General features: G+C 37.5%; 1 protein-coding gene across 1 annotated transcript in view; it reads left to right on the top strand.

The window, feature by feature from the left end:
• The window catches only part of CTSO (cathepsin O), a 29,749-nt gene that overhangs the window by 5,045 nt on the left and 12,372 nt on the right, over window positions 1–12,332 (top strand). The window contains exons 2-5 of the mRNA NM_001334.3: window positions 5,558–5,666; window positions 6,366–6,505; window positions 9,284–9,451; window positions 11,339–11,460. Coding sequence (NP_001325.1) covers window positions 5,558–5,666; window positions 6,366–6,505; window positions 9,284–9,451; window positions 11,339–11,460 — 539 coding nt within the window. The remainder of the gene's footprint in view (window positions 1–5,557; window positions 5,667–6,365; window positions 6,506–9,283; window positions 9,452–11,338; window positions 11,461–12,332) is intronic.

Genomic DNA, 12,332 nt, shown 5'->3' with positions numbered 1-12,332 from the left:
ATTTTCCTCTTAACTTACCCTAGCCGGAGCATTATCTAAGACTGTGGTTACCCACAGCTGGAAAGGTAAGAGGGCCAAGATGCCTGAGATAGCTGGAAGGGCTTTCTGATCCTGTAAGAAAAATGTTGATTTCTGAGGAATTTTAAAACTGCAGCCTAACCTCCTCATGAGACTGGTTCAGGTCTCTTGTCAATAGAGTTATCCTGTTTTATGATCAGACTGAACCCATCCTCTGTTTGTTGTTTGGCCTTGCTGGGATGTTTCATGACTACTCTGCAGTTCTTATCAACCTCCTTTAGCATACTCATGAAGCATCCTAGCTAGGCTAACAGGCGGGAAATTAGAATATGGAAGACACTGCTTAGAAACATATTACATTTAAATCACAGTTCAAATATGTGATCACCTCCAGTACACATGTGCACACACACACACACACACACACACAAAGGCAGCTTTAAGAGATTCTACCTCTTAGAAGGATGGCTGCTAGAAGTCATAATAAGGATAGCTTTAGGGACAGAGTCTTACAGGGACAGGGTCCTAGGTATGAATTTGAGAGGTTATACCTATAATAAATAGAGACTTAGTATGCACAAGACGTACTAATGCCCAAGGGACATGTTTTTCCTAGTTTTATAATCAGGATAATTTCTTCAATCTCTTGGGTTCTGAGTTACCCTTCTGTTCAGGAATCTGGTATCTCCCTTTGTAACTCATTCAATTAAACACATTTAACAACAACAACAAAAAAAAGGTGAAGGTAGTTATTTTTCACCAAATCTGTTCACCAAGGCTGTTCTGATTTATCAGCTCTAATTTTTCTCATGTAAGATCTAATTTTTAAACATCTGCACTTTTCAAAAGTATCAATGAGAAGTTTCCTATGTATTCATCAAAACTTTACGTCTTTCCTCTCATAAATGAAGTTAAGGTTCAGGTCTTTTCTTTAATATTTTATATGACTTTAGAGATGGCTACTCTAAATTTGCTCCCTATCATATCCTCTGTTGAGAACATGTGCCCACTGATCCTTTACCTAACGGAGGTTGTTGGATGTAATGAGCAGCAAGGGCCTCATACAGACTTCAGTTTGTGATGCGTCTATGAAATCTTTAATAGCCAGAATCAAGAGAGACCGGAAAAGTCACTTAAAAGAATTGATAATTCAAGAAATGAAATACAGGGCTTTTTAAATTTTAAATGATGTGAAACCCATGTTAGTGAACTTGATAAGTGTATAGCAAACAAGACAATAAATAAATAAGAGAATAGATATTCTTGGATATACTGATAGTATTATTTTACCATGAAAGCAACAGATTGCTTTCAATAGATAATATTGATCCTCATTTCTAATGACATGAGAAATACTTGCTCCAAGTGAATCTGAAAGTATGGTCTTTGAGCGCCATTTCTATAATCCAAATACTCTGTTTAAAGGAAAAGGAAGATAGAGGATGAGAGTATTTTAACTGAGCATTTATTTTGCCAGTCTCTGTAATAAGTGTTTTCCAATTATTATTTTATTTCATCCTTACATTCTTCCAGATCAGTATTACTCCATTTGTTGATGGAAATAAAGCTCAGAGAGGTTGATTATATAGCCAAAAATTGCACAGCAATGGTAAGACATTTCAAATTGTTGCAAAGTTAAAAAGAGGCCAGGCGCAGTGGCTCATGCCTGTGATCCCAGCACTCTGAGAGGCTGAGGCGGGCAGACCACGAGGTCAGGAGATTGAGACCATCCTGGCTAACACGGTGAAACCTCATCTCTACTAAAAAAAATACAAAAAAAATTAGCCGGGCATTGTGGCGGGTGCCCGTAGTCCCAGCTACTCGGGAGGCTGAGGCAGGAGAATGGGGTGAACCCGGGAGGCGGAGCTTGCAGTGAGCTGAGATCACGCCACTGCACTCGCCTGGGCGACAGAGCGAGAATCCGCCTCAAAATAATAATAATTATTATTATTACGCTGTGTTCAGAAGCCTCCAAGGAAGTACTTTTAATGTTATTAATGGTTTTGCAAAATCAAAACAAGTGGGTAGAGATTAGTGGTAGGGAGAGGACGAAGCAGAGCACTTAGTGGTTTAGAGTATTTTGCTGTTGGCAGGAAGTCAACAATTTGTATAAAGATTGAGTAGCCCTGACATGGGCTATGGAGAGCTGTGAAATGACAGGAGTCATTACACCAGAATAGCAAATGGAATTCTTTTAGAAGTTGGCTCCTGGTTGAACAAGTGGAAGACAGCAACATTTTCAGAAGTCCTGCAGACACTAGTGCCGCTGACATAAAGAACAGTGTATCAAGTGGTAACAAATAGAAAATATATGTGGAGATATTTGTCTTTTCAAACACATGGCACAAGACCAAAACCAAGTAACTGTTATTGGAATCATCATTGAAAATTAGGGACATAAATATTTAAAATAAATAAATAATACATTCATTTATTTCATTATTAAATTGGTGTTATTATAACTACTTCACAACCGGAACACCTAAACTTTGGATGGTGAAATGACACTTATAAGGCAACACAAAAATTAAGAGAAGTACATGGGAACTCCCTGCCAACGATGTATAAGTTTGTTTCATCTGGCATTTGCCAACTTGAGTGGCAATATATTGTTTCTCTCGTAGATGTCACAAATGATCTAGTGAGATAAACTTGCATTAGCTCTCCAACTAAATAGAGTATGTGGCTCAACTACTGCCTCCCCTCCCAGACACACGTGTAGAACCCACACGTACAGCATTGCCTACACTCAAGAGTCTAAAATCCATTCCTAGAATTAGATTTTCTTAATTAAACAATTTGTGTAATTTTAAGGATCTTGAAAGGGCGTACCAGTCTATACCTCATGTGCGTGCGTATGTGTGTGTGTGCGCATTTGGTGTGGTGTGGTGTGTGTGTGGTATATTCCTTTTTTGTTCTGTTAATATGGTGTATCGTACTGATGATTGATTTTGAAATTTTAAACCAACCTAGCATTTCTAAATAAACTTCACTTGGTCACAATATATTGTCCTTAACATATATTGTTAGATTTGATTTGCTATTTTGTTAAGGATTTTGTGTCTACAGCGTATTTATGAGGGATACTGGTATGTAGTTCTATTTTATTTAGATACATTTTTCTGGTTTAGAATCAGGGTAACACTGGTCTTATTTAAGTTGCAGCGTATTCCCTTCTTCTTGATTTTCTCAAAGGATAATATTGGTATTACTTCTTTCTTCATTGTATAAAGTTCACCAAAAAGCCACCTGGGCCTGAAGTTTTCTTTGTGAGTCAGTTTTCACTTACAAATTTAATGCCTTTAGCTGATAAAAGGCTGCTCAAGTTTTCTATTTCTCCTTTCATCTTTGGCAATCTGTGCCTTGCAAAAAGTTTGTCCATTTTGTACAGTTTGCCAATTTATTGTCATAAAGTTGTCAAAATATTATTCTTCTAATGCCTGAAGCATCTGTAATCATGGCTCTTCTTTCATTCCTAATATTGGTAAATTGGTTATTCATGTCTTCTCATTCTTTTCTTATTTTTTATTTATTTATTTATTTTTTTGAGTTGGAGGCTCGCTCTGTCGTCCAGGCTGGAGTGCAGTGCTGTGATCTCGGCTCACTGCAACCTCCGCCTTCCAGGTTCAAGCGATTCTCCTGCCTCAGCCCCCTGAGTAGCTGGGATTATAGGCGCCCACCACCACGCCCGGCTAATTTTTGTATTTTTAGTAGAGACAGGCTTTCACCATGTTGGCGAGGCTGGTCTCGAACTCCTGACCTCAGATGATCCACCGACCTCAGCCTCCCAAAGTGCTGGGATGACAGGTGTGAGCCACTGCTCCCAGGCTTTTTTTTTTTTTTTTTTTAATCAATCACAGGAGCAATTCCTGTGAACTAATAGGGAGAGGTCCAGGTAGAGCTATCTGATTGCAATGTAATTCTGACCCTGAGTGAAGGAAAAAAGGAAGGAAGACTGGGGAAGAGTTCCATGCTGTCTCACAGTCCAAGGAAACTTTGGTTTGGCAAGGCCATCAGGGAGTCATTAATCAAAAACCAGCTGTCAGGGGAGTCCCATTTGTCTCCCAAATAGCAAGCCTTAGCACTAAGTCATGAGCTAGGTGCAGCCCGTAAGAACTGTGGCTTCCCTTGGTGTGATCATGGAGATTTCAACTAGCAGCAGCTAAACTCCCTATAGAAAGAAGGCTGGGAGGCACATTCTCATGGCTGCCACATTCTCTCCTGTGCATTCTTAACATCCTACATTTTCAGTGCCTTCCTGACTACTCCAGCTCACAAAGATGGCCAGGCAGTACTTATTGAATGAATGAATCCTCTGAATTCCTTAGCAGTTAATAGTCTCTGGCTTATATTTGTCATTTGCCATATACAGAATTACCTTGTATTCTAGTTCTATTTTTACATTTATATATCCAGGTTATATTGAAAGCCTTGCTTCATCAAGATTATTTTAAAGTACCTCAAAAACTTTATTAATTTGTTGATTAGCAATCTTCCTAGGTATGCACAAAAGGAAAAAAAATAAGATTATGACAACTTCCAGCAATAATTTACTTAAAAATAAACAGCTTAAAGTTATTAAGGGCATGATATGGAAAATGTCACTTATCTATTTATTCAACAACAAACACTTATCAAGGATCTATTGTGTGTCAGCCATGTGCTAAGTGAGTGTCTCACCATAAGGAATAAGACATATAAGCAGTCATCATTTTGCTTATAGGTTTTTGATACAGACACACAATAAACACATAAGTACATAGACAAATATGTAGAAGCGCTAGGGTTGGAAAGGTACCAAATGATAGCCCCCTGAAATTTTATTTATTCTATGTAATTGGTTAGTATTACGAAATTGAAGCATGTTTATATATAAAAGATAAGCTTAAGATAAATTGTCACAAAATTCAAAGTTGAGAAATCAGTAAATAATGGTCACATTTCCCCTCCAGATAGAGAAACCAGGCTATCTTCTTCAAATATTTCCAGAATTGCATCTGTCACAGAGCCTTTGTACCCTACATGAGATAGAGATATCTATAAAGCTTTAATAGAATCAGATTGATTTATTAATTTATTTACCCAGTCTGTTTTTCATGCTTCATTACTTAGTTCCGGGAAACACAAAGGTGAAGAGGACATATTCCATATTCATAATTGTTTAACCACATGAGTGAATGTCTAAAGGTGACAATTTGCTTCTAGTATCTAGTGTTTATTTGCAGTCTATTTCTTTTTTCCCACTATGTCAATACTTTAACAGCTGTATATGGAATGCTTGCAACAAACCTGGTGATGGGGAATTATAAATGAATAAAATACACTTTTCTCAGCCTCAAAAAATGTCTGCAATTAGATAATAATTCTAATAGAAAATATTTATGAATCTCCTATGGATATCTTATACAACTTTACATTGTAGTCTGAAGGAAATCAAGCTTTAACTTTATAATTGAAAAATTTCTCCAAGTTAGTTATACACAGTTTACTTTGGAAAACTGACATAGTGGATATGAAATAGTTTTTGTTTTTCTTCTAGGAAAGTCTTAATAGACATCGATACTTGAATTCTTTATTTCCCAGTGAAAACTCCACCGCCTTCTATGGAATAAATCAGTTTTCCTATTTGTTTCCTGAAGAGTTTAAAGGTATAGTCCGATGTTGCTATTTAGGTGGTTTCCTGATTTTAATTTGCTTGCTTAACTTTTGATAAATATTTCATTGTAAATCTAATATATTGAGTAATAGTTAACATTTATTAAGTGTCTACTAAATGTCAGGCATGTACCATGTGCTCACATAAGAAAATAAATTCATGGCCAGTCTCTTCTAATTACTGCTTAAGAAATGAATGTTATAATTATGCACATTTCCATGTGGCTATAAAGGATAATTGTCTAATCACTTCTGCAGTTTTCTAGTGCTTTTTCTCTTCAGGACACACATGGTTCCATGGGTTATGATAGAACAAATGATGTCAATTATACTTATTTTTATTATTGACCTGGTTCTATCAAACAAATCATTTTATGTGTCAACTCCAGCCTTATTGTAGGAATTCTCTTTTGTAGTTTTTAATGAATGCATTTTATGTTATAGAAAAGCACAAGAGAAAATCTAAAATAGCAGGTCTACTAGAAGGCTACTGTTTCTTCTTTAAAAGTTCCTCCCAAAGAATCTCAAGGATATAATATAATATAATATTGGTTGTCTTTTAGTATAATATTGGTTGTCTCCCTATAATATAATATTGATTGTCTTTATATATAACAAATATATATGATATATATAATATAATATATTGTAATATAATATTGGTTGTATTTTCATTTTATGTTTCTACTCAGCCATTTATTTAAGAAGCAAACCTTCCAAGTTTCCCAGATACTCAGCAGAAGTACATATGTCCATCCCCAATGTGTCTTTGCCGTTAAGATTTGACTGGAGGGACAAGCAGGTTGTGACACAAGTGAGAAACCAGCAGATGGTACGTTGAAATCCCTCTTCTTTTCTAATCATCTAAGCATTGAAAGGCAGCTTTGAGGTCAAGTTTAATCAAAGTTGTAATGGAAACATCATTTCTCTAGGAAAATCACATCTCAGTCATCCAAAAATGACAATGAAAAGAGAATCTCTGGAGGAATGAGAGTCAAATGTCAAAGCCCTGACTTTTATTTCTGAAGATAAACCTTCCTTGCTGTGTACTCTTACTAATTGCCATTGCCACCAACACAATAACTCAGGGATACTTCCCAGTAGCTGTAATAACAGCTCAGGGATACTTCCCAGTAGCTGTATCACAGATACCAAGCTTTCTGTACAATAGCAGATGAGAGGCTGGAGAAGGTAAACATGAGCACTAAAGGCTTAAATGGTTCAAGAAAAAAAAAGTGAAAAAGTAAAATGAAAATGGATACATTTACCAACAGTGTGGCCGAATCTCCTGGGTTCTCAAGCCTCATCTTGCAAGCTCTGTCAGAAAATCTGCCCCCGTCTTCACAGGATCATATACCTTTGAATCTGTGGGCCTTAAAAGTATAGTTAGTAGTCAGTTCAGCCATAACGTGACGCATACATTCCAGAAAATCACCACCTATGCAGAATTGAGCAGTAGCATGACAGGGATTATGGGAGAAATGAGGTTAGGTTACACTACCTACGAGCTTAGTCAATGACATATGTTTTAAAAGACAGAAAACTAATAGACACAGTAGCACAGTTTTACACATGTTTACTGATTAAGAAATATGTAAGTACTGCAATAAATATAGCAATTTACCTTGAAAAGAGACTCAAAGTGTGCTGAGGACATGGGAGTTGGCAGGGCAGCAGCTTGTGAGTTATTCTGAAGTGGTGGAAGGAGGTGCCTTTGAACTAGGAAGGAAAGTGGTAAGAGCAGATGTGGGTGGGTATGACCTATAATGCATGTAGTGAACCCACCTAGCTGGCAGACGTTTGAGGGGTGTGTGCATACTTTGCTGACCTTCCCTACCCGTCTACACTCCCAACTGTTGGCATAGGGAATGCCTGCCAAACAGGCAAAGTCAAACCCCTAACCAGAGGGGATAGTCTCAGTTTGTCTGCAGTGGAAACCTCAACAGATCATTCAGCCTTCCCTTTTATGGAAAGTGTTTTGGTGCCAGCTGTTTCGCAGTCAATGTGTAGTTAGAATGATTTTTGCTTCTCAGAGTCTATATTTATTTTTGTACATTAAGTTTTACCACCAAATCATTTGCTTTATTATTGGATTTGTAATAACATGTCAATTAGACATAAATCTAATCCTTTCAAAAATTGTCCACAGTGTATTGAAGAGGGAACTTTTAATTAGAGATCTTTAATTAAAGGAATGTATGAGAGACTTTTTTTTTTTTTTAAGCAGGAACTGCCCTTGTGGCTTGACTAAAGCTGGCTATAGGGGTGATGTCAGCAGCCTGTTACCTTTTCTCTTTTTTTTTTTTGAGACGGAGTCTCACTCTGTCACCCAGGCTGGAGTGCAGTGATGCGATCTCGGCTCACTGCAACCTCCACCTCCCAGGTTCAAGAGATTCTCCTGCCTCAGCCTCCTTAGTAGCTGGGATTACAGGTGCGCACCACCATGCCTGGCTAATTTTTGTATTTTTAGTAGAAACGGGGTTTCACCATGTTGGTCAGGCTGGTCTTGAACTCCTGACCTCATGATCCGCCTGCCTTGGCCTCCCAAAGTGCTGGGATTACAGGCATGAGCTGCCCTGTGTTCACCTTTGTCAAAGTTTGGAGACCCTGCTGTATGGTCACTTAGTGAGTGTTTTTACTATGCCATAGGCACTAGAGATAGAGATATAACCTTTAAAAAAGCACTTAAAGCCATAAAGTTGCTCAAAACTTAACTCTGCAAAGATATCCAATTGTCATTCCTTTTTTTTTTTGGTCTAACTCTGCCACACATGGCCCTCCAGTTATGTTAGTTTCATCCAGTCTCAAATCCTACTCTCTTCTGCCTTTTCTGTGGATCCTTCTTCCTTTTACGTGATCCTACGATCCCTAATTTCATTCCCTCTGTCTCCTCTCTTTCTTTCAGGACTAGTTCTTTTATTCTTTTGTTCTAGTTTGTTAAGTAAAAGCAAATTAAGAGATCCACTATCAGCATGATTGGCAGCCAATACTGGAGTAATGACTAATATGGATTTATATCCTTAGGACATTTCATGTACATCCACTATAAGCATACTTAATCGGGCATCTTTATAGCCTAAAGAGTAATTCATTAATATTTATTAATTCTCTTATCTCCATCAAATAATTAGCACAACATGCATCTTTCCCCTCCTCACCCTTAGGATGGAAGTGGTGTATGACCATGGAAGCAGAGTGTCCTTAAAAAAGCAAGGGGGATGGAAGGTTGGGGCGGGAGTCGGCACACACTCTCCAGAAGAAAAGCCACTTACAAAGAGAAGTCACATATTCAGTGAACTGAATGGTCTTTTAGAAGATCATCAGTTAGCCCAAGTATTTCCTCGGTCTCTAAAAATTCACTTTTATCTTGCATTGCCAAATTTAGAATAGTAATAATGCTGACAACATGAACTAATAATTAAATGATGCTCAAAAGAGACTTTTGGTTTTCTCTTTTTTTCAGTTTAAAAATCTAGAGGATAGGCGTATTTATTTTGTAGGTTTCCAGAATCTGGAAGCCTTACTTGATTTGATAACTTGTTACATTTAGAGATGTTGGTAAGTTGATTTAAACCCTGGAAATACCACCCCTTTTTCTGTTTTTAAACAGTGTGGAGGATGCTGGGCCTTCAGCGTGGTGGGGGCAGTGGAATCTGCTTATGCAATAAAGGGGAAGCCCCTGGAAGACCTAAGTGTCCAGCAGGTCATTGACTGTTCGTATAATAATTATGGCTGCAATGGAGGCTCTACTCTCAATGCTTTGAACTGGTTAAACAAGGTGACTAGTCTCTCAACCTCTTAAACTCTTTATTTCCTTTTTTGCTTGTTTACTGTGTGTTCAAAATTCAAACAGTTTGTTCACATATATTAAATAATGTTTCCACGTTCGGAAATGTAGATGATCAAAGCATGAAGTAATTAATCAGAATATTTAAAAATGAATCACTTCTAGGCAAAGCAGTTGTCAAGAAATCAAAAGGGGAAAAATCTGAAGTCTGTCTTCAGAGAAATATTTATATTTATTTCTTAACATTTCTTAATATATACATGCTTTTTTGCAGATCTGAATATCTCATAATATCCCGGAAAGATGAGAATATATTTTTTTTATTTTCATAGAATTTCTGAATGTTAAGGTTAAAAGGAACATTAGAGACTAATTTTTTAGCTCTTTTTTGTTGTTGTTGTTTTTGAGACAGAGTCTCACTCTGTCACCCAGGCTGGAGTACAGTGGCACAATCTTGGCTCACTGCAACCTCCACCTCCCGGGTTCAAGTGTTTCTGCTGCTTCAGCCTCCGGAGTAGCTGGGAACTATAGGTGCCCACCACCACACTTGGCTAATTTTTTTGTTTTTTTTGTTTTTTGTTTTTTGTTTTTGTTTTTTTAGTAAAGACATGGTTTCACCATATTGGCCAGGCTGATCTCGATCTCCTGACCTTGTGATCCACCCGCCTCAGCCTCCCAAAGTGCTGGGATTACAGACATGAGCCACCACACCCAGCCTGTAGCTCTTTTTATAGATGAAGAAATGAAGCCTGAGAAGTGAGATCATTTTGTCAAGTCAGTAGCTGAGCCGGAGTTGTACCTTCAGTCCCCAGCCTCTCACAGTAGGGCTTTGCTCAGTATACCCCAGTGTCCCTCAGCGTTCTTAGCACTTGCCCTGACAGTGTCCCAGATCCGATATCAACTGCATGAAATTTGCCAATGAGGGTGCTATTAGTTTCTGTAGAACGTCATCAAACCAGAGTTCCCCAAACCTGAATTCTCTTCCATTATCCATTGGTTGCATTTTTAATCACGTATTCCAGGACCTGCTCTGTACACACTGTAGACGACAATGAATTATGAGTCTCCTCCCTTTCATTAGCCTAGCATTCAAAAAGGGAGGGTTTTGTACAGATAACTATGAAGTATTTGACATATGCTATATGAATGGCATAAAAGTGAAGTGATAGAAAGAATGCTTGACCTAACCGTTGCCTGTGTATAAACCACTGGATGGAATCTGAAAGACTTGGCAGAACCAGAAGCACTGGGAGGAAAGTGAGCTGCCCTATAGCACCGTCAGGAGAAAGATGACAAGACTGTTACTAGATCCATGGAGGATCTACAAAAGGATGCTGTAAGATAAAGAGAAGTAAGGGAGAAGGAAAGATATTGACTCCAAATGTCTAGACTATCCAGAACAAGCACCTAAAGATTTAATTTATAATATTAAAAACCCAAAGTATAGGCTGGGCACAATGCCTCACACCTGTAATCCCAGTATTTTGGGAAGCCAAGGCAGGTGGATTTCTTGAGTCCAGGAGTTTAAGACCAGCCTGGGCAACAGAGTGAGACCCCATCTTTACAAAAAATACAAAAAATTAGCCTGGCGTGGTGGCTCATACCTGTAGTCACAGCTACTGGGGAGACGGAGGTGGGATGATCACTGGTGCCCAGGAGGTGGAGATTGCAGTGAGACGAGATCGAGCCACTGCACTCCAGCCTGAGCAACCAAACAAAACTCTGTCTCAAAAAAGAAAAAGAAAAAAAAAAGAACGCAAAGTATATCCACATGATGAAGGTGTGTGAAATTGAACCTGTTTTGACACAGTGAAGTAAGTTCTATTTGATTTATAAAACAATTGACAGTAAACATGTTCAGTGATTGTTTTCTTTTAGATGCAAGTAAAACTGGTGAAAGATTCAGAATATCCTTTTAAAGCACAAAATGGTCTGTGCCATTACTTTTCTGGTTCACATTCTGGATTTTCAATCAAAGGTTATTCTGCATATGACTTCAGGTAAAGATCTTATTGTATTATGTTTTTCTTTATACATTTTTAATTTATGATCTATTGACTGGTTAATAATTTGTTTGAAGGCATCACTGCATACTCTTAATCCTTGTAAAACATACTTTTTACTAGAAAGAGTAGCAATTACAATGAAATGTTGTAAATGTTGTTTCTTAATTATAATCTACTTATTTTCCCAAGTGTCATTACGATAGAAATGAAAAATTTTAATTCTGTGTAAGGTACAATTTATATGTATATTTATTTGTTATATTTTATATTTTATTATACTTACAAATTATTAGTGCATAATTTATATTTATATATACCACCTTCATCTTATCAAATTTAGGTGTTATATTACCATTAGCATATTTCAATCTTAATGGTGAGTCCATCCAGAATTGCTTTGTACAGACTGTGCAGCTAATATCACGTAGGCTACATATCAGGAAGCATATTTTGAACACCTTCTATGTTCTTTGCATTTTTCAAGACATCAGCCATTTGAAAAATATAACACAAAACTTCAGATTAGAGAAAAGAGGGAAGCATATACTACTGAAGATAAATTATGTAGCATACACTATAAGCATGATGGGAATGTAGGGATAGATAAAGACAGGCTGAGGAAAAGGACTTGTGTTGGAACTGAAGGGCAGGATAACTTTGGATAGTTTTGGGGAAAACAATCATTAAAAATGCTTTAAAAACACATGAAAAACACAGAGCTGGCTGGAGACTCATCATGACCATTTGATAGAGTGCAAAATAGGTGTTCATGGGTGAAAAGGACAAAGGGAGACCCAACCAACTCCTGGCTTCATTAAGAAAATATATGATGGGAACTTTGCAGTCTTTTGAAACAGAGAAAACAG

Source organism: Homo sapiens, chromosome 4, assembly GCF_000001405.40.
Source record: "Homo sapiens chromosome 4, GRCh38.p14 Primary Assembly".
Lineage (NCBI taxonomy): Eukaryota > Metazoa > Chordata > Mammalia > Primates > Hominidae > Homo > Homo sapiens.
Note: the sequence above shows the minus strand (reverse complement) of the source record. Positions and strands in the feature narration are given on the sequence as shown.